The 23,452-nt window shown below is 39.5% G+C and overlaps 1 long non-coding RNA gene across 1 annotated transcript in view; it reads left to right on the forward strand.

Moving 5' to 3' along the window:
* CHD1-DT (CHD1 divergent transcript) overlaps positions 1 to 23,452 on the forward strand; it is a 75,460-nt gene that overhangs the window by 48,161 nt on the left and 3,847 nt on the right. Inside the window, exons 2-3 of the long non-coding RNA NR_151718.1 lie at positions 21,931 to 22,013; positions 22,940 to 23,035. This is a non-coding gene — a long non-coding RNA (CHD1 divergent transcript). The remainder of the gene's footprint in view (positions 1 to 21,930; positions 22,014 to 22,939; positions 23,036 to 23,452) is intronic.

Raw genomic sequence — 23,452 nt, forward strand, 5'->3', positions numbered from 1 at the left:
GGATGAAGTTTTATTTCCTACAACAACATCCTTTCTTGTACTGCCTAGGTGAAGAGGAACAGATGCTGCCATGAAAGGGGTTTCCTAGAAAGTGGTGAAGAGACCATAGCCTAATGCAAGTAGAGAATTGGGACCAGGAAAAATAAAGCCATGAAATAATGAGTCTGCTGTATTAGAGGTAATTTTTTGCTGCTTCCAAGATTTAACATATGGAGTAAAATCCTAAATGCTGAATGAAAGAATCCAAAAGTTGAACATAACATAAGGTACCCTAGGATCCCTCAAAAAATAAAATAAATACCATTGGTTTAGAGAGAGGTATTCTATGGATTGACGTTTCCTGGGAATTTGGGGGTTTGAGGAAAAAAATATACTATACTTGATGTTTAGTATTTGGTTGTATTACACTATATGTTTAAATACATAAACATTTTAACATAAGTTCGTTGTCTGAGAACTTGCTGTATTTTCACATATCATCAATACTTCTAGGAAAGAGTTTCCAGAACATTATGAAACTTTAATCAGTGGGTATCTATAAATTTTATTGGATTATGGTGCCATATAAACAGGTAAGAAGCCATTTTTTCCCCTAAAACATTCTCCACACAAAATGGTCTTATAAATAACTGTGAACTTTGTATTTTCTCCTTGGCCCTACAACTCCACCACCACCAGAGCAGATAAACAGTTCTTAGGATTCCATGCCTCAAAAATGTACTTTCAGGCTAATCCGTTGTTGGCCAAGAAAAAGCTATATGGCCATAATTACAGGCAATTTGCAGCAAGAGAGACTTGAATTTAAAGTACCTCATCACTTCGCCCACCACACTGGGCCCTGAAAAAACTTAAGAACAGGTCACTGAGCCCTTTTCAAGTCAGGAAATTATCTAGTGGACTAGTACCTCATCGTCCTCTTTCAAATATCTCCAACCTATTTTTCATTGCTTATATTTAGGCTCTTTCTTTATAGATCTCATGTTGCATCCTGACTGTTTTCCTGATAGAGCTAGGAGAGAGAGACAGCAGGTTCCATTTATGCTTTCTGGACTCCGGGGATCCTAGAAGCCAGCTAAAGCACATAGTTGTAAGAAGAGCTACTTGCTGTAGAACAGAAGAGCCAATCTTTCCTTGTGTATTCTGCCAGAACAAATTCTAGCTTTCCACTGGCTGGCCCCATTCCACCTCACTCCCTTGCCAGGTAAATCTTTTGAGTCACCAAGCACAGCCAGGCTCACCCTGTTAGATATGTTTACCCCCAGATTAAAACCTAATGCTTCTCACCTCACCCACTCCACCTGGCTTCTCATTCTGAAAGTTGTACTTTATTTATTAAGGGCCTAATTGTTCTTTTTTTGTGCCTTACCTCCACTTCCTAATTTGAATTATTCAGTTTCTTTTGTTTTTTCTTATCAAACATTTGATACACAGAATGTAATTATTCATAATTCTTGTTTACTACCACAGTCTCATCATTTGTACACACAGGGCTTCCTTCCTTCTCTCCTTCCAACCTTCTTTATTTTTTATTTTTTTACAAATCGGGTCTTGCTGTCACCCAGGCTGGAGTGCATAATTGTAGCTCACTGCAGCCTTGAAATTCTTGGTTCCAACAATCCTCCCACCTCAGCCTCCAGAATAGCTAGGACTGCAGCCATGTGCCACCATGCCCAGCTAAGTTTTATTTTATTTTGTTTTGGTTTCTATTTTTTTAGAGAGAGGGTCTCACTTTGTTGCCCAACCTGGTGTTGAACTCCTGGGCTCAAACCAGTCTCTTGCCTTGACCTCCCAAAGTGCTAGGATTACAGGTGTGAGCCACCATGCCTGGCCTTTTTTTTTTTTTAATTTATTAGTGTAGTCAGGGTCTCACTATGTTGCCCAGGCTGGTCTTGATCTCTTTGGTTCAAGCAATCCTTCTGCCTCAGGCTTCTGAGTAGCTGGGACTACAGGTATGCACCACCACACCTGGCCAATTTATTATTTTTTATTTATTTATTTTTATTTTAAAATATTTTTTGATTATTATTTTTATTATTCACTTACTATTCCTCAAATATTTTAAAAATTATTTTGTTGAGAAAGGGTCTCATTCCATCGTCCAGGCTGGAGTGCAATGGCATCATCATGTTTCACTGCAGCCACAACCTCCTGGGCTCAAGGGATCCTCCTGCCTCAGCCTCCTGAGTAGCTGGGACAACTGACATGTGCTACCACACCTAGCTAGTGTATATATGTGTATATATATATATATATATATATATATATATATATATATATATATTTTTTTTTTTTTTTTTTTTTTTGTAGAGAGGTGGTCTCACTATGTTGCCCAGACTGGTCTCAAACTCCTTAGTTCAAGTGATCCTCCCATCTCAGCCTCCCAAAGTGCTGGGATTACAGGTGTGAGCCACTGCACCTGGCCTTATTTTTTTAGAGATGGGGTCTTGCTATGTTGCTCAAGCTGGTTTCAAACTCCTGGGCTCAATAAATCCTCCTGCCTCAGCCTCCTGGATAGCTGGGATTAATAGGCCTGAGCTACAGCGCCTGGCTCAAACCTTTTATTTTAATAATTTTATATATTGCAAATAAGAAAATGACCATTTATGAGTCTACCACAGGAAAACTAGAGCACAGACAATAATTTACATCCACCTCTGTGGTTCTTCCTTATCTTGTTCCCTCCTGCTTTGATTTGAATGTGTTTCCCCAAATTCTTGTGTTAGAAACCTAATCTTCAATACAACAGTGTTAGAATGTGGGGCCTAATGGGAGGTGTTTAGGTCATGAGGGATGGACCATCATGAATGCATTAATGTGCCTATAAAAATGGCTTGTGAGACTGGTCGTGGTGGCTCATGCCTGTAATCCCAGCACTTTGGGAGGCCAAGGTGGGCAGATCACTTGAGGTCAGGAGTTCAAGGCCAGCCTGGCCAACATGGTGAAATCCTGTCTCTACTAAAAATACAAAAAATTAGCTGGGCATGGTGGCACATGCTTGTAGTCCTCGGATGGCTGAGGCATGAGAATCACTTGAACCCAGGAGGTGGCATTTGCAGTGATCTAAGATTGGGCCACTGCACTCCAGCCTGGGAGACAGAGCAAGACTCCATCTCAAAAAAAAAAAAAAAAAAGACTTGTTAGAGTAGGCTTTCTCTCTCTTCTGCTATATGAGGACATGGTGTTCCTCCCCTCCGAAGGATGCAGCATTCAAGGTGCTATGTTGGAAGCAGAGAGACTGAGCCCTGACCTGCCAGTGTCTTGATCTTGGACTTTCCAGCCTCCAGAACCATGAAAAGGAAATTTCTATTCTTTATAAATTACCCAGTCTCAGGTAGTCTGTTATAGCAGCACAAAACAGACTAAAACACTCTTATCCCCCACTGCATCCAAGGTAATCACTATTGTGAATCTTGTTTTCATGATTATTTTGCTTTCCTTTTACTATGGTACTGTATGTATGCCTAATTAATTAATTAATTATAGAGATAGGGTCTCCCTATGTTGCCCAGGGTGGTCTTGAACTCCTGGGCTCAAGCAATCCTCTCACCTCAGCCTCCCAAAATGCTGGGATTACAGGCTTGAGCCACCAAGACTGGCCATATGTATGCCTTAAAAATTTGAACTGTTACATGACTCATTTTCATTTGACTTCAGACTCGAACCCTCATATGACTGCAGTGTTCAGTCTCTTAGTCTGTCATGGTGTTGCATGAACTAAAGATGAGCTGAAGTTCAGATAAATAGTAATTCAAAGATACTGGACATGACATCTGTGCCTTATTTGTGAAAGAATCCAGTAAAGATGCTCTAAAGGATAGGAACCAAAGATATACTATTAATATTTGCCTTTTCTTTAACTATATGTATTCCTTTAAAAGCTTTAGAGAGAGATTACCTGATAAGTAACCCTCTGAAGATTTCCGATAGTTTGCTGTTTTTCTCTTCACTAGTCTTCTTTACCTGAGAGTGTTCTACTCATTGTTTAAGATATAATTTAAAATTCACCTCAGGGCAACAAATGCAAACATAGACAAATGGGATTACATCAAACTAAAAATCTTCATAGCAAAGGAAATAATCAACAGAGTGAAGAGGCAATGTATAGAATGGGAGAAAATATTTGCAAACTATACACCTAAGAGGTTAATACTCAAAATATATAAGGAATGTAAACAATTTAATAGCAAGAAGACCACCCAACTGGAAAATGGGCCAAAGATGTGAATAGACATTTTTTTTTTCAAAAGAAAACACACAATGGACAAGTATGCAAAATCTCAACATTATTAATCATTAAGGAATCAAGCAAATGCAAATAAAAACCACAATAACACCCTACACTCCTATTAGAAAGGCTACCATTAAAAATGCAAAAGATAAACAAGTGTTGGTGAGGATGTGGAGAAAAAGGAACCCTTGCACACTGTTGTGGGGCATGTAAATTTGTATGGCTATTGTAGAAAACAATTTAGGGGTCCCTAAAAAAATTAAAAATAGAGCTAGCATAAGATCCAGCAATCCAGCTAAGGGGTATATATCCAAAGGTAATGAAATCAGTACCTCAAAAAGATATCTGGCCTCTCATGTTTATTGCAACACTATTCACAATAGCCAGATATAAAAATCAACCAGGATAAAGAAAATATTGTACTTATATAAAATAAAATACTATTCAGCCATAAAAAGAAATCTTGTCATTTGCAACAACATGGGTAAATCTGAAGGACATTAGGTTAAGTGAAATAAGCCAGGCGCAGAAAGACAAATACCACATGATCTCACTTATATGTGGAATCTAAAAATTTTATTCCGTAGAAATAGAGAGTAGAATGATGATTACCAAAGGCTGGGGTTGTGGGGAGTGAGAGAGGAGATATTGGGAAGATGTTGGTCAAATAATACACAATTGTAGTTAGAATGAATAAGTTCATGTGCAGAATGGTGACTAGTTAATGAAGATATATTATGTTCTTGAAAAATGCTAAAAGAGTTTAAAAATGCTAATTGTTCTCACCACAGAAATGATAACTGTGAAGTAATAGATTTGTTGATTAGCTAGATTGAATCATTCCACAATGTGTATATATTCAAAACATTATATTGTACATATTAAATACATAGAATTTTATATGTCAATTTTTAAAAATAAATAATTTGAAAAAAATAAAAGTAACTTCAGAAAATCCTTGTAGAGCTCTCATAGGCATATAGTTCTCCATCGTTTGTTCTTTAAGCACATGCCCAAATCATTATTCTGGAATTTATCTCACTTTGTGATGATTATTTCTGGAGAAGCCTGTCTTTTCAAGTCACTGAGCTATTGAAGAGATGGTCTCACTCACCTTTGTCTTTTCCAGAAATTAGTCCAGTACCAGGGCAATAGTAAATATTTGTTTAGTAAATGAATGAATGAATGATGGGCACTATTTCAGATTATTAGAAGTGGAAAAGAATGGGGCATGGTGTTGCATGTCTGTAGCCCCAGCTACTTGGGAGGCTGAGGCAGGAGGATTGCTTAAGTCCAGGAGTTCAAGGCCATTCTGGGCAACATAGTGAGACTCTGCCTCAATATATATATTTTTCTTTTTTATGAAAAGAAAACATTACCAAAATACCTACTTATGGTCCCAGACTACAATAAGAATGTGCCGTAATAGGAATGAACTTAAAATTGTTTCCATATCTGCTCACCCTACTAGGCTTTTTCCTTATAAATGATATCACTGAATAGAAAATGATGGCAAATCATGTTTAACAATCATGCAATAATCACAATAATGGTGGGTACTATAACTGATACTGAGGCTGAGGATTACATTCATTTATAGCCTCAGGAAATTCTGACTAAAATGGCAGATTTGGAGACAGTGGTAGAGGGGACAATAGCAGACAAGGAATTTATTTATTTGTTTGTTTATTTTTTAGAGACAGGGTCGTGCTCTGTCACCCAGGCTAAAGTGCAGTGGTGCCATCCTAGCTCACTGCAGCCTTGAATTCCTGGGTTCATGTGGTCCTCTCACCTCACCCTCCTGAGTAGGCTGGGACTGCAGGTGTGTGCCACCATGCCCAGCTTCAGGCAAAGAATTTAAACAAATATTTGGAAGATGATGGAACACAGAGGAGCAATAATTAAATTAGTAGAGCAAAGTAAGCTGCAACCTAAATGCCTGCAGAAGGGAATACCAAGAGAAGCAAATAGAATTGTTTCAGGACTCTGGTAAACAGTTAAAGTAAGGAGCAAGACAAGACTGCTGGAAACAGAGGGAAACTCTGAAAAATCTATACTCAGAGTAGGTAGACTCTCCTACAAATGCCTTCTTATCTCCCACCACAAACTAGATGTTTAGTCTCTGGATATACTGAATTAGAGAAGCTCTGGGATAGGAGACACCAGCTCAGCAGATGGTGATGGGGGAGGGTTAACTTCAGATACTGAAGGTGACACCCTGAGTTCATTTGTTCTTTTCCCGAAATGCCAACAATCAGACCTATGCCCTATCGGACAGGAGATCAGGGGATTTCTTCATCGAAAAATTGAATAGCCTTGGGATCCCCCAACCAAAAAGTCAGCTTTTTACCCAGGTAATTGAGAATAAAACTAGCCAATAAGCTTTATACTGCCTTAACCTGAAATGTGGGTGATTAGCCAAAGATCTCTAGATGTTTGAAAATGACCCCTTGACATGAGAGGCACAGGTTCAATCAACCTAATATGGAAAAGGAACCCAGAGAATATTGAGATAGGGCAAGAAGAAGAAAAGAAAATCTTTTTAAAAAATCAGTAATATTCTCAGAGAAACAAGAGAAGATATAGCATCCTCACAACAAAAAACAATGTTACTTTGTAGCAAAGAAATAAGATGCTATATTTTAAAAAGGATAATTTGGGAACCCTCCCCACAAAAAAGTCCTTTTAGAAAAAAACGACAAATGAAAACCTTAAGAAAATAGAACAACAACAACAAAAGGCAGTGAAATATAAGAAAAAAATGTAAGAAAATCCAGGAAGTTTGGGCCAGGTGCAGTGACTCATGCCTGTAATCCCAACACTTTAAGGCCAGAGGATGACTTGAAGCCAGGAATTTGAGACCACCTTGGGCAACAAAGTGAGGCCCCTATCTCTATTAAAAAAAAAAAAGAAAGAAAGAAAAAAAAGAAAAAGAAGAAAAGAAAATTCAGGACTTTCAATATCTGATTAGTAGGAGTTCCAAAAAAATAAAGAATAAAGAAAATGGAAATGAGGGAATTATCAAAGACACAACATAAAGAAAATTTTTCAAACTGAAAGAACGAGTCTGTGTGTTTAAAGGGTCCACTCAGTGCTCATAGTAGCAAATGAAGACCAACAACAAGGCCAACAAGGCATAGCACTGTGGAATTTCAGAATACTACACATAAAATGAACATTCTTTAACCTGAAGAGAGAGAAAAAAAAGTAGTATATGGAGGATTATGTCATCAGACTGCAAGAGCAGTAAGTACATGTAGAAGACAGTGCGTCAATGCTCTCAAAATTCTAAGGAAAAATTTTCAACCTGGAGTTTTATATTTAGCCAAACTACTCATTAGTTATCAGAAAAAACCAAAGGTATTTTTAACGTGTGAGTCTCAAAAAATATACTTCCCTTCCATTCTTTCTTAAGATATTACAAGCCATGGCCGGGCATGGTGGCTCAAGCCTGTAATCCCAGCACTTTGGGAGGTCGAGGCGGGTGAATCACCTGAGGTCAGGAGTTCAAGACCAGCCTGGCCAATATGATGAAACCCCGTCTCTACTAAAAATACAAAAAAAATTTGCCAGGTGTGGTGGCGCACCCCTGTAATCCCAGACACTCAGGAGGCGGAGGCAAGAGAATTACATGAATCCAGGTGGTTGCAGTGAGCTGAGACCATGCCACTGCACTTCAGCCTGGGCAGCAAAGTGAAACTTCGTCTCAAAAAAAAAAAAAAAAAATTACAAGCCAGATGTGGTGGCTCACACCTGTAATCCCAGTGCTTTGGGAGGCTGAGGAGGGAGGGAGCCCTTGAGCCCAGAAGTTCAAGGCACTGAACTATGATCACACCAGTGCAGTCCAGCCTGGGTGACAGAGTGAGACCTTGTCTCTAAATTAAAAATATATATATATATTATTTAATGAATTACTCCATCCAAACATATTTTTGGTCATCCTGGATCTTGGAAATTAGAAACAAATCATGAGCACTGAGATCCAGGATGTCCCAAAATAAAGGCAGGGTAAAGGAATTCCTGGATGGCAGCTATGTGTCTGGGATTGATGGATAATCTGATGCATTTTAACTATATACAAAATAGTATTGAGGATATTTTGAAGACCTTTCTGAGAATTTGGAAAGAATTTTTGATAGGTATGTGGGAAAATACATAAATTGGACAGATTGATAATTTGTAACTCAGAAAAAAAAAGAAAAAATGGAAAAAAGAAAACATTTCAAAATGAAAAACTATCATATTACACAGTGAATCAATATTAGATTATATTTTAATATTCTTAATATTCTGAACAGTGACTGATCATTTAAAATATTTAGAGAAATTTTAGGGAAAGACAAATGGGGTTATATATCCTTACCTACTATGATACATATAATTAACAAAACAAGAATGAACAATATTAGCATATCATTACAAACTCCTTCACCTCAGCAAAATGTATGAATATTGAAAGTGGTAGCATTTAAGGAATAGGTTGAGAAAGGTAGGGGAAAGGTTATAGTTTGCTACAATTTGTTATAAGCCTTTTTCTGTTCCACTGAACTTTTAAATTATGTGTATACATTATTTTAATACAAGTTAAAATTAGTTAAAAGTCAAAAGTATTACAAATTACAAATTATTATCATATATACACAGAGTCACATATAGAATACACTAGCCCTGTGTTAGTCTGGATCCTCCAAAGAGCAGAAGCCAAGATAGGATTAAATATGAAAAATATTTGTTAGGGTAAATACTGATGAAAGAAACATGGGGAGTTGGGAGATGCTAGGAGAGCCATAGGACTATTATGCATGTCTGATTCTGAGTGAAGAAAAGGGAAAAAGAAAGGAGGAAGGTAGGCAGGCAGGAAGGAAGGAAAAAGGAAGGACCGGGAGAAGCAACTTTTACTGTTGTGTAATCAAAGGAAAAGTCTGCAAGACCACTGGAGGGTCCTCAAACCAAAGCAAACCGGCTGGGCGTGGTGGCTCATATCTGTAATCCCAGTACTTTGGGAGTCTGAGGCGGGCAGATCACCTGAGGTCAAGAGTTCGAGACCAGCCTAGCCAACATGGTGAAACCCTGTCTCTAATAAAAATACAAAAATTAGCCGGGTGTGGTGGTGCACGCCTATAGTCCCAGCCACTCGGGAAGCTGAGGCAGGAGAATCGCTTGAACCTGGGAAGTGGAGGTTGCAGTGAGCCGAGATCGTGCCACTGCACTCCAGCCTGGGTGACAGAGCGAGACTCCATCTCAAAAACAAACAAACAAACAAACAAAAAAACACAAAGCAGACCATCAGAAGAGTCCTGGCATCTCCCAGGAACAGGCCTGTCTTCCTGCTGGATGGGAGCAGCTCCTGGAAAATTTGGCTTCAGTGCAAACCTAGCAATTGATTTCAGACCACAGAGGTAAGAGCTCTTGACCCATTAGACTTCCTGCTGTAGAAGATCTAAGAGGCACACTCTCATGGTTGCCACTGCCACAAGGACTATATTGAAAATAAAAAGATTTTATGTGATCTATTGAAATAAGTGTTTAAAAAAATTAAATTAGCAGGGGGTTTTTGTTTCTTTTTTTTTATTTGAAAAGAAGGGATTCTAGTATTACCTATCACTTAGGAGCTTTGTGAGAATAAAGTGAATAGAAAGATTAGATAAATAGATATAGATATGTCTTAATCTCATAGCCTGTCACATAGAAAATGCTATATATTTATATATTAGGTAACAATGCTACAATAAGGTAGACAATTCTGGGTTTTATTTATGTTACATCATCTTCCCCTTCCTGACACATGGAAGACTGCTGTGTCACTTGATTTGATGAAAAAATGTGAGCAGAAGTGATGCATATCATTTTCAGGCAGATGCAGTGAAAGTCCATTGACAATTCTTCATCTATCTTTCCCTGCTGGTCATGAAGGAGGCCTCAAGTCGAGGTGAAAGAGCTAACATACATCAAAGTAATCTGGATCTCCGGAAAATCCATAGAAAACACGTGCCCTAGAATAATTCCTGGACCTGCAGTAAACTTTGCATAAAGGAAGAAATGGATTTTTGTCTGCATTTTTTTTTTTTCTGAGACAGAGTCTTGTTCTGTTGCCCAGGCTGGAGTGCAGTGGCATAATCTTGGCTCACTGCAACCTCTGCCATGGGTTCAAGGGATTCTCTTGCTTCAGCCTCCCAAGCAGCTGGGGTTACAGGTATGCACCACCACGCCAGGCTATTTTTTTTTTCTTTTTTGTATTTTTGGTAGAGATGTGGTTTCACCATGTTAGCCAGGCTGGTCTCGAACTCCTGACCTCAAATGATCCACCTGCCTAGGCCTCCCAAAGTGTTGGGATTACACGTGTGAGCCACTGCATCCAGCCAATTTTTTTCCATGATAGCAACATAACCTAGACTCTCCTGACAAATACAGCTATTATTGTTGTTATTATTATTTCTAAAGATCCTCTCATTGAACAAGTGACTGAATTTCTGTGTTTTTGTTTGTTTTGCAGTAATGTGGAACAAGTGACAATTTCATTTTTTAAGAATGCTGTTTGTACAAACAACCCCATCAAAAAGTGGGCAAAGGACATGAACAGACACTTCTCAAAAGAAGACATTTATGCAGCCAAAAAACACATGAAAAAATGCTCACCATCACTGGCCATCAGAGAAATGCAAATCAAAACCACAATGAGATACCATCTCACACCAGTTAGAATGGCGATCATTAAAAAGTCAGGAAACAACAGGTGCCGGAGAGGGTGTGGAGAAATAGGAACACTTTTACACTGTTGGTGGGACTGTAAACTAGTTCAACCATTGTGGAAGTCAGTGTGGCGATTCCTCAGGGATCTAGAACTAGATATACCATTTGACCCTGCCATCCCATTACTGGGTATATACCCAAAGGACTATAAATTATGCTACTATAAAGACACATGCACACATATGTTTATTGAGGCATTATTCACAAAAGCAAAGACTTGGAACCAACCCAAATGTCCATCAATGATAGACTGGATTAAGAAAATGTGGCACATATACACCATGGAATACTATGCAGCCATAAAAAATGATGAGTTCATGTCCTTTGTAGGGACATGGATGAAATTGGAAATCATCATTCTCAGTAAACTATCGCAAGAACAAAAAACCAAACACCGCATATTCTCACTCATAGGTGGGAATTGAACAATGAGAACACATGGACACAGGAAGGGGAACATCACACTCTGGGGACTGTTGTGGGGTGGGGGGAGGGGGGAGGGATAGCATTGGGAGATATACCGAATGCTAGATGACAAGTTAGTGGGTGCAGCGCACCAGCATGGCACATGTATACAAATGTAACTAACCTGCACATTCTGCACATGTACCCTAAAACTTAAAGTATAATAATAATAAATAAATAAATAAATAAAAAAGAATGCTGTTTGTAAAATAAGGAGAGAAAAATGGAGCTGATTGAACCATCAGAATGCAATGCAAGTCTGATTCTGAATGAAGAAGAGAGGAGGGAAGAAAAGGAGGAAGGCAGGCAGGCAGGAAGAATGAAAGACAGGTGGAAGCATCTTTGACTGAAGTAAAGTCTAAGGAAAAGAAGGAATTTGTAATTTGGAGTAATTTTTAATTTTTCTTTCTTCATAACCACATCCAATCTATTACTAATTCTTTTAGACTCACCTTCAATAAATATCCCAAATCCAGAAACTTTTCACCATTTTGAAACCATCTTAATCTCCTATCTGGGTTAATAGTCTCTCTCTCTCTCTCTCTCTCTCTCTCTCTCTCTCTCTCTCTCTCTCTCTCTCTCTCTCTCTCTCTTTTAAGACAGGGTCTCACTCTGTCGCCCAGGCTGGGGTACAGTGGAGCAGTCTTGGCTTACGGCAGCCTCCATCTCCTGGACTCAAGAGATCATCCCTTTATTTCACTGTATACTAAAATTAACTCAAGATAGATTAAAGACTCTTAAACGTAAGACCTGTAACAATAAAAGTTCTAGAAGAAAACCTAGGAAAAACTCTTCTGGACATTGGCCTAGGCAAAGAATTCATGACTAAGACCTCAAAGGCTAATGCAACAACAACAAAATAGACAAATGGGACTTAAATTCAAAAGCTTCTGTACAGCAAAAGAGTCAACATAGTGAACAGAAAACCTGCAGAATAGGAGAAAATATTTTCAAACTTTGCATCCAGCAAAGGACTAATGTCCAGAAACTACAAGAAACTCAAACGATTCAGCAAGAAAAAAACTACTCCAGCAGGGTGCGATGGCTCAAGCCTGTAATCCCAGCACTTTGGGAGGCCGAGGTGGGTGGATCAGGAGGTGAAGAGATCGAGACCATCCTGGCCAACATGGTGAAATCCCATCTTTACTAAAAATACAAAAATTAGCTGGATGTGGTGGCACTCATCTGTAGTCCCAGCTACTCAGGAGGCTGAAGCAGGAGAATCGCTTGAACCTGGGAGGCGGAGGTTGCAGCCAGCCGAGATCGCGCCACTGCACTCCAGCCTGGCGATAGAGCAAGATTTCGTCTAAAAAAAACAAAAAGGAAAAAGAAAAAGAAAAAACTACACCATTAAAAAGTGGGCTGTTTTTCAAAAGAAGACATACAAATGGCCAAGAAGCATATTAAAAAATGCTCCACATCACTAATTATCAGAGAAGTGTAAATTAAAACCACAATGAGATATCATCTAACACCAGTCAGAATGGCTGGGATTGGTTTTATTTTGTTTTTTGTGTGTTCATTTTGTTTATTTGTTTGTTTTTGTTTTTAGGGACAAGGACTTTGTATTAATCTGTTTTCATACTGCTATAAAGAACTGCGCGAGACTGGGTAATTTATAAAGGAAACAGGTTTAACTGACTCACAGTTCAGCATGGCTGGGGAGGACTCAGGAAACTTACAATCATGACAGAAGGCAAAGGGGAAGCAGGAAGCTTCTTCACAAGGTGGCAAGAAGGAGAAGTGCCAAGGGAAGAGGGAAGAGCCCCATATAAAACCACGAGATCTCTTGAGAACTCACTGTCTATCATGAGAACAGCATGGGGGAAACCAGCCCCATGATTCAGTTACTTCCACCTGGTCTCACCCTTGACATATGGGGATTATGGGGATTATAATTCAGGATGAGATTTGGGTGGTAACAGAAGGCCTAATCATATCAATCTTGCTCTGTCACCCAGGATAGAGTGCAGTGACATGATCACAACTCACTACGGCCTCAACCTCCCACACTCAACTGATGTACCCACCTCAGCCTTGCAAGTAGCTGGGACTACAGGCACATGCCACCATGCTGGGCTAACTTACTATTTTTTGTAGAGGCAGAGTTTCACTATGTTACCCAGGCTGGTCTTGAACTCCTGGGCTCAAGCCCAAGAGTCTGTCTGGAGCCCAGGAGTTCAAGACCAGCCTATGCAACATAGTAAGACCCTGTCTATGTTGAGACTGTCTAAATCCTCCTGCCTCAGCCTCCAAAAGTGCTGAGATTACAGGAGTGAAAAATGGCTATTATTAAAAATGAAAAAAAAAATAGATGTTGGTGAGGATGCAGAGAAAAGAGGATGCTTATACACTGTTGGTGGGGATGTAAATTAGTACAACTTCTGTGAAAAACAGTATGGAGATGTCTCCAAGAACTAAAAATAGAACTACCATTCAACCCAACATCCCACTACTGAGTATCTACCCACAAGAAAAGAAATGATTATATCAAAATCTACCTGCACTCATGTTTATAGCAGCACTATTCACAATAACAAATATGTGGAACCAACCTAAGTGTCCATCAACGGATGGTTGAATAAAGAAGATGGTACATATATACCATGGAATACTACTCATCCATAAAAATACATGTAATCATGTTTTTTGCAACAACATGGATGGAACTGGAGGCTATTATCTTAAATGAAGTAACTCAGAAACAGAAAGCCAAATATCTCATGTTCTCACTAGTAAGTGGGAGCTAAATAATATGTACACATGGACATAGAGAGAGGAATAACAGATATTGGAGACTTGGAAAGGTAGGAGGGTGGAAGTGGAGGGTGAAGGATGAGAAATTGCCTAATGAGTATAATGTACACTATTAGGATAATGGGACCATTAAAAGCCCAGACTTCATCACTCTGCAGTATATCCATGTAACAAATCGGCACTTGTGCTGGCCCGGTGGCTCACACCTGTAGTCCCAGCACTTTGGGAGGCCAAGGTGTGAGGATCCCTTGAGCCCAGAGGTTCAAGACCTGCTGGGCAACATAGGGAGACCCAGTCTCTACAATTTTTTTTTTTTTTTTTTTTTTAACAATTAGCTGTGTGTGGTGATGTGCACTTGTGGTCTCACCTACTCAAGAGGCCAAGGTGAGAGGATTGCTTGAGCCTGGGAGCTCGAAGTTACTGTAAGCCCTGCACTCCAGCACTGCACTCCAGCCTGGCAACAGGGCAAGATCCTGTCTCAAAAAAACCAACCAACCAACCAAAGAAACAAGCAAAAATTCACTTGTACTCTCTAAGTCTATAAAAATTTAAAATAATAAGAGGGAAGTTGATCTATGAAAAACCAAGCATATAAGTATTAAATTAATAAAAGTCATTTGATAGCATTAATGTAAACCTTAATTTTGAATACCAAATTTAATATTGCTCCTCATCTTTTGATTTCTAAACTGTGTTGAGATATTAAAGAGAGACAAATGAATAACTACTATCTTAGCTCCACAAGTTTCCTAGTAGAATTGGAGTCTGCTGAAGTCATCTGCATTGCACATTCATTAGGTATTTTATATATTTGATTTTTTTTAATTATTTTTATTTGGAGGCAGGGTCTCTTTATGTTGCCCAGGTTGGACTCGAATTTCTGGGCTCAAACAATCCTACCACCTCAGCATCCCAAGTAGCTGGGACTACTGGTACATGCCACCTGAGTAGCTGGGATTACAGGCATGCGCCACCATGCCCAGCTAATTTTTGTATTTTCAGTAGAGACAGGATTTCGCCATATTGGCCAGGCTGGTCTCAGACTCCTGGCCTCAAGTGATTTGCCTGGGTGTGGTGATATATTAGTATATTTAATATTAAATAAAAACTGTACAGTTCTTAGCAGAAGAAGCTTTGTACACTTTCCTAATTTCCACTTATCATTCTTTTTTTGTTGTTTTTCTTGAGACAGAGTCTTGCTCTGTCGCCCAGGCTGAAGTACAGTGGCACGATCTTGGCTCACTGCAACCTCCGCCTCCCGGGTTCAAGAGATTCTCCTGCCTCAGCCTCCCCAGTAGCTGGGATTACAGGCACGCACCACCACGCCTGGCTAATTTTTGTATTCTTAGTAGAGATGGGATTTCACCATGTTGGCCAGGCTGGTCTCAAACTCTTGACCTCGTGATCCACCCACCTCGGCCTCCCAAAGTGCTGGGATTACAGGTGTGAACCACCGTGCCCAGTGCTCCACCTGTCATTCTTGACCATTTTTTCATAAACTCAGACACTGGTTTGGGCTCTTGATGACTTATAGATGGTAAAAGGTTGACATTGTGGAAGACAGTGTGGTGATTCCTCGAAGACAGAAATACCATTCGACCTAGCAATCCCATTATTGGGTGTATACACAAAGGAATATAAATCATTCTGTTATAAAGACACATGCATGTGTCTTTATTGCATGTGTCTTGCAATAAACTGCCTGAACAGTTCATTGCAGCACTGTTCACAATAGCAAAGAACTGGACTCAACCTAAGTGCCCATCAATGATAGACTGGATAAAGAAAGTGTGGTACATATATGCCATGGAATACTAGGCAGCCATACAAAAGAATGAGGTCATGTCCTTTGCAGGGACATAGTTGGAGCTGGAAGCCATTATCCTTAGCAAACTAACTCAGGAACAGAAAATCCATACTGCATGTTCTCACTTATAAGTGGGAGCTAAATGATGAGAACATGTGTACACACAGAGGGGACCAACACACACTGGGGCCTATGAAAGGGTGGAGGGTGGGAAGGAGGCACAGGATCAGGAAAAGTAACTAATGGGTACTAGGCTTAATTCCTGAGTGATAAAATAATCTGTTCAACAAATCTCCATGACATGAGTTTAGCTATGTAACAAACCTGCACATGTAACCCCAAACTTAAAAGTTTTAAGAAAAAGAGAACTGGGGGGCAAGGGGAGGGAGAGCATTAGGACAAATACCTAATGCATATGGGGCTTAAAACCAGATGACCGGTTGATAGGTGCAGTAAACCACCATGACACATGTATACCTATGTAACAAACCTGCACATTCTGCCCATGTATCCCAGAACTTAAATTAAAAAAAAAAAAAAACAAAGAGAGAACTGTCACAAGCAAAAGTATATCACAAGCAAAAATATGTTTTTCTTGAAGACCGACAAGCTCAAATAGACCTCTGTGAATTCTTTCTGTAAGTGAACTTTTAAAAAGGGAAGGTTTAGGAATGGAAGAGAAAAAAGAAAAGAAGACACCACTTTCTCAATTAGGAGGAACCCTAAGGCCATCTACTACTTACCCATAAAGTAAGGAAGGTTTATAGAAAAAAACCCAGTGAGGAAAAGCCAGGTGCAATACCACATGCATTCAAGGAACTTTAAAGAGTGCTTCTCAAAGAAAAGGGTCAGAGTGTGCCTTTGGGGCAGGTAGGAGGATGAAAGAATTTTATCGCAGTCACTGCAGGCTGTGGCATAAACTGAAAAAGGTTGAGAAAGTACTGCTTTAACCTTTTCACTAGTGACATAAAAAACTCCAGCCCCCAGCATTGTTACCTACTTTTGTTATCAGTAGGTATCCTCTTTTGGAGGCGAAGTGAGGCAAGAAACGCCTTGAGTTCCCTCAAGTGTAAAGCCAATAGCTTTTATTTTGTCCTCCTGTTAACCCACATGAATTTAACACTCCAACCATGGGATGTTGCTGTTCCATTCAAATGAGATCACAGAGTATTAGAAATACCCTAACTGGGCCAGGCACTGTGGCTCATGCCTGTAATCCCCAGCACTTTGAGGGGCCAAGGCAGGCGGATTGCCTGAACTCAGGGGTTCAAGACCAAACTGCACAAAGTGGGGAAACTCTGTCTCTACAAAAAATACAAAAATTAGCCAGATATGGTGGTGTTCCCCTATAATCACAGCTACTTAGGGGGCTGAGGTGTGAGGATCACTTGAGCCCAGGAGGTGGAGTTTGCAGTGATCCATGTTCACACCATTGCAGTCCAGCCTGGGTGACAAAGTGAGACCCTGTCTCAAAGAGAAAAAAAAAAGAAATGCCCTAACTGATTGTAATCCTTACCACAGCTGCTTTGCATCATCCAGAGATGGGCCATGTAGCCCGCTCAAGGCATGGTGTTTCCTCTAGACACATCAGAAATAGGATAGGACAATATTTTAACCGAAATGACATATGACAACTCAAAACTATGTATGTGGCCAACTGGGAGCTAGCCTCTTAGAATGATCCAAAAACTGTTTAATTTGGTTAGCACTTTTGATAAATAAATACTGAATTTGAATGCCCTTAGACTATAGACATGCTTACTCTGATTTGCAAAAGCCAACTACCTCTTCTAGATTCTATTATTCGCTACTTTATTTCCCTGTCTCTGAACTCCCCAATACACCTTGTAATGTTTACTTTTAGATGTCAACTTGACTGGATTACTGAATACACAGAAACCTGGTAAAGCATTATTTTGGGGTGTGTCTGTGAGGGTGTTTACAGAAGCGATTAGCATGTGAGTGTGAATGGACTAGGTGAGGAAGACCCTCCCTCAACGTGGGTGGGCACCATCCAATTTGCCAGGGCTGGAGAACAAAAACAGAGGACAGACAAATATGTCCATCTATTTCCTAGAGCTGGGATGCATTCTTCCTCTCCTATCCTTGGACATCAGAACTCCAGGCTCCGGCCTTTGGACTCCAGGGCTTAACACCAGCAGCTCCCAGATTCTCAGGCGTTCAGCCTCCAACTGAGAGTTACACCATTGGCTTTCCTGATTTTGAGGCCTTCAGACTTGGTTTAAGCCATGCTACCAGCATCCCAGAGCATCCAGTTTGCAGATGGCCTATTGGGAGACTTCCCACCCTCCACAATTATGTGAGCCAATTCTCCTAATAAATCCCCTGTCATATGTCTATGTACATATCCTATTATATCTGTCTTTCTGATAACTCTAATACACATCGTCTACATATATTTGTGCAACTTACCTGTCCCCTACAAGTATTTGGGCTTGCTACTTCCTTTGTAGCCTGCATTAGGCAAATGCTCCTTCTATTTCTATCCTTATTTTATTTTGCTTTTCTTTTTTTAAATTTTTTACTCTTTCTGGCATGTGCCTCTAGATGTGATTCTTTCCTTATTTTAAAGTATGCTCAGGCCAGGCACGGTGGCTCACACCTGTAATCCCAGCACTTTGGGAGGCCGAGGTGGGTGGATCACCTGAGGTCAGGAGTTCGAAACCAGCCTGACCAACATAATGAAACGTCATCTCTACTAAAAATACACAACTAGCTGGGTGTGGTGGCACATGCCTGTAGCCCCAGCTACTTGGGAGGCTGAGGCAGGAGAATCACTTGAACCCAGGAGGCGGAGGTTGCAATGAGCCAAGATCATGCCGTTGCAGTCCAGCCTGGGTGACAAGAGTGAAACTCCATCTCAAAAATAAATAAATAAATAAAAATAAAGTATGCTCAGCTATGCATTGCCCGGCAAACTTACCACACTATAATACAGTAATTATAGCTAACATTTATACAGCTATTATGTGCTAAACACAATTCTGTGTTTTCTATATATCAGTTCGTGTAATCCTCACAACTAATTTATGGATAGGTATAATTATTTTTTCTACTTTTAAGAGAAGACAAGAGGTTAAGAGACTTGCCCATAGAGGAAGTAGTATTAAAACCCAGATGGTCTGACTCCAAAATCCACCTCTCAACCACTATAGAATAGAATGAGCCCTTGAGGTCTGCACCACATAATGTAAGTTATTTTCTGTATACACCTTATACATTTTAACAATACAAATCTTTTCCCAATATCAAGCCAATTCTCTGTTCCTACAGAGAAATCAAAGCTCTAATATCAGATTCAGTGTCTCAGGCTCTCTTGCATGTCTCCCTCCTGTTTACCTGCAACCATGCACATTTTCTTTTAAATCCATGCATTCCCACTGTTGGGACTAACTCAGGGCCATGTTTCAGCCCGAGTCTTTTCCTCTAAGGTATATTCTAGGTCATCTTCCACTAAATATGAGTTCAATAATATATGAACAGAGGCCACTATGAGCTACTTTAATCCCAGCAGAACCCTAGCTTTCTTTGCTCCAAGTTCTTCCAGCACTGTGCATACAGGGGCTCATTGAGAAGGATATTATCTCTGCAGAGTCTCGTTCCCCAAATCTCACCTTTCTTCAGCGTCGAAATCACAAAACCTTGGTTAAAGTTGTTCTTCTCAGGGTGATGCAGGCATTCTTTTCTGCCACCTATTTTCCTGTTCCAGGAGGAATTTGCCTATTTTCTCTAGCATTGAATATTATTCCTTCAGCCCTGGCTGAGGAATAGGATGAAGAAGAAAGTTGATCTTGGAGTGGAGAACACAGAGCAATCCAGCAGTACTTGGTATTTTTAAGTCAGAAGTTTACATACTGAGGCTCTGTCTTGAGCCAGACACCCTAGAACTGAATCCCCGTCTTCACCAAGACAATGGTCTACTTACTGGATCCCATACTTGTGCATTAGCCTTGCTCTTCTTGTGGGGATTTATCCATAAATAGGACAACAGCCCTTAAAGTTTAAGATTCTTTAGTGATCTTACGTCCTAAACCTTAGCTGTGTATATATGCTTTGATCAGTTTAACTACACCAGATGTTGGTGATCAGAATTCCAAATTCTGCTTTTTAAAAATTTTTTAAATTTTTTGAGACAGGGTTTTGCTCTGTTGCCCAGGCTGGAGTGCAGTGGCACAATCATGGCTCACCACAGCCTTGACCTCTTGGGCTCAAGTGATCCTCCCATCTCTGCCTCCCAAGTAGCTGGGGCTATAGGCACATATCAGCACACTGGACTAAATTTTTATTTTTTGTAGAGACAGGGTCTCACTATATTGCTTAGGCTGGTCTTGAACTCCTGGGCTTAAGCAGCCATCCGACTTCAGCCTCCCAGTGTGCTGGGATTCCAGGCATGAGCCACCGCAGCTGGCTAGAATTCCAACTTCTGAGTCATATGCTGCTAGGTTGGGCTTTGGACTCCAATTCTAATGTAGTCTACTCGTGATTCAATCAGGACTTTGTGGGTCCCCAAGGATTTCTCTTGTTTAGGTCAGAGGCAGACTGAAAGACTGTTCACCAAGAACTATACCCTAAATTCAGATCCGGAAATCCTATGACTTGAATGGAGTGAGGGGAACGTAAAGATGAATACAAGGAAAAATGAATCATAGGCATGAAAGGCATTTCTCAAAGAGGCCTAAATCTGAACTCATGTAAAACATAATCTCCTAAACTTTCCTAGGTCTGTAGTTGTGTTTTTGGAGTTAGTTTGGGGCATGAAAGCTGTATCAGAAGGATACACAGCATCCAAGCACTATGTTCATCTTACAACATCAGCCATATTGGAGATTGGCACTCCAAAAATGGAGACTTGGCCGGGCGTGGTGGCTCACACCTGTAATCCCAGAACTTTGGGAGGCTGGGGCAGGCGGATCACCGAGGTCAGGAGTTCGAGACCATCCTGACCAACATGGTGAAACCCTGTCTCTATTAAAAATACAAAAATTAGTTGGGCGTGGTGTTGCGCGCCTATAGTCTCAGCTAACTGGGAGGCTGAGGCAGAAGAATTGCCTGAACCCGGGAGGCAGAGGTTTCAGTGAGCTGAGATTGCGCCACTGCACTCCAGCCTGGGTGACAGAGCAAGACTCCATCTCAAAAAAAAAAAAAAAAAAAAATGCAGACTTAAGGGATGCTAGGCCACTGCTGGAGCTTTAAAGTTGGTCAGCCACCCCAAAAGTGTCTCAGTGTCTCCTAGCAAAGAAAAAATTAGGGAGAAGTCCAGGATAACTTCTGAATGCCTTGTAAGATGGGGGTACCAAAACCCCAGACAAACAATGTAAGAGAGAATGTGATGATTTCAGTTTTGGTTTGTAGTTGTCTGTAATATTCAGGAATAGATGTCTAGCAGGTGGTTGGATATACTGGTCTGAAATCAAATTACAGAGAGTTCTGGGATAGGGATAAAGATTTGTGAGGCAGAAGCCAAAAAGGTAGTAACTGAAAGCTTGAGATGATCTTTAGATCTTCTGCAACCCTATTATTCTATAATTATTGCTTTTCATGTTGATGACAAATTTAATTTTTGCCTACCAGTTGAGTGCATAATGTTTTAAATGGGCAGAAATAAGTGCCACTCTTCTTTTGTATCTTCTGTGACATAATGCATCGATTCTGTATTTAACTGTTCTATGTGAGGATACTCTTTTAAAGAATGTTAATTGGTGCAGAAAAGGAAAAGGAGTGGAGTACTGTTGAAGATTCTGATGTGAAGCTCCTCAGCAGCACCTCTCATTTTCAGGCAGATGTTTTACTTTGACTTTTAATGTCTTTGGTTAGGAATATTTCTCATAATGGAATGGAGAATATATTCATCATAATATTTGAAATTCCTGTTGAAAAATTAAAATTTCTTATTCCCTTTCAGAGCTACTATGTTATGATATCTCAAACTAATATTTGAGACTCCTTGGCTTGATAACTATGATTCCATTGAAGATGACTATTGAGGTAATCAACTCTTTAACAATTCTCAAACTTTAGTATACATGTCAGTCAGCTGGGTACTTACTAAAAATATGGATTCACACCTATTCTCCATCCCTAGTTTTGTTTAGTAAGTCTAGGAAAAGGCCAACATATTTGCATTTTAATAAACACTTGTACCTGTGATTACCTGATTACACATTGAGAAATAATATTTATTTCTTAGTATTACCCTAGAAATTCCAGGAGAAGTGTAGAATAGGATTTCTTAAAACCTGAGATCCAAACATCCCAAAGGAGCCTGTGAATAAAATTTAAAGTGTTCACGAACTTGGGTGGGGTAAAATACATCTTTATTTTCAGTAACTCCTAATTAAACCTAACATTAAAAAAATTGTAAATGTAGACAACAAAGCACAGTATTAACTTTGTCATCAGCAGAAAACACTGAAATTTTTATATTGCATTGGAGTTGCTGCAAATATCTTGAAGTGTTGTTTATAACCATCACTACTTAAAAATTATGGTAGTTACCAGACTGCCATTAGATTTCATTTAATTTAATAAAGAAGCATATGTATTACTCTAAAATTAAATTTGAAAACATTTTGAAAACTGTGTCTTGATAAAATTGGTTTCTTTCATAATCCTACATATTTCTAAAAGCATTTACAAATTATTACAAGAATAGTCCATAGGCTTTGCTAAAATATTTAAAAGCTCGATGGCACTAGAAGGTTAAGAATCTTAGTGTAGGAAAGAATAGTTCCTTATTAAGACATTAGGGAGGTATATTACTTAATTCCATGGGGAAAATCACAAATACTTATAGATCAGATGAGATTTTTGACTCAGTCTCCATTTCCCCTTTCCTGATGAATTTTTCACTTTTCAATATCTCTTCTCATGGACTACATATCTTCCCCGATTTGTTTACTCCTCCTCAACAGTTGAATGGCTCTGTTTTCCATCAACGATGACAGCTTTTAATCACAGATCTCAAGCCCATTATGAACATTAATTAATGTCTGACATCGCTTAATGAGGTAGGTAAAAACTATTACTGTTTCATAGATGGGAAAATCAGGTTTAGGCAAGTTTGGTGGCTTGTTCTTAGGCAACCCAAGAAATTGTGGCTCATTTCCAAAATCCAATGCTTATTCTCCTCACAGGCAAATGATGTTTTTTTTTCTTTCACAGTATACCAATCTGTTGCAAAACCTATTTTGCAAAAAATAGATTATTGATATAGGCGTGGAAATAATCTTTCTTAAGGCAGAAACATTTGATGGTATCAATATTCATACTGCTTCAACCCAACAATGTATTGGTTGGGTTTTCTCTGAAAAATAATAGATGTCTTGGTTGGAGGGAAAAAGCCCCTGCTCAAATAAACCATTAAAACCACTATCCATTGTTTTGAATACAATAAAAGTCGATTTTAAAAGAAGAGAAAAAACCCA

This window comes from Homo sapiens, chromosome 5 (genome assembly GCF_000001405.40).
Source record: "Homo sapiens chromosome 5, GRCh38.p14 Primary Assembly".
Lineage (NCBI taxonomy): Eukaryota > Metazoa > Chordata > Mammalia > Primates > Hominidae > Homo > Homo sapiens.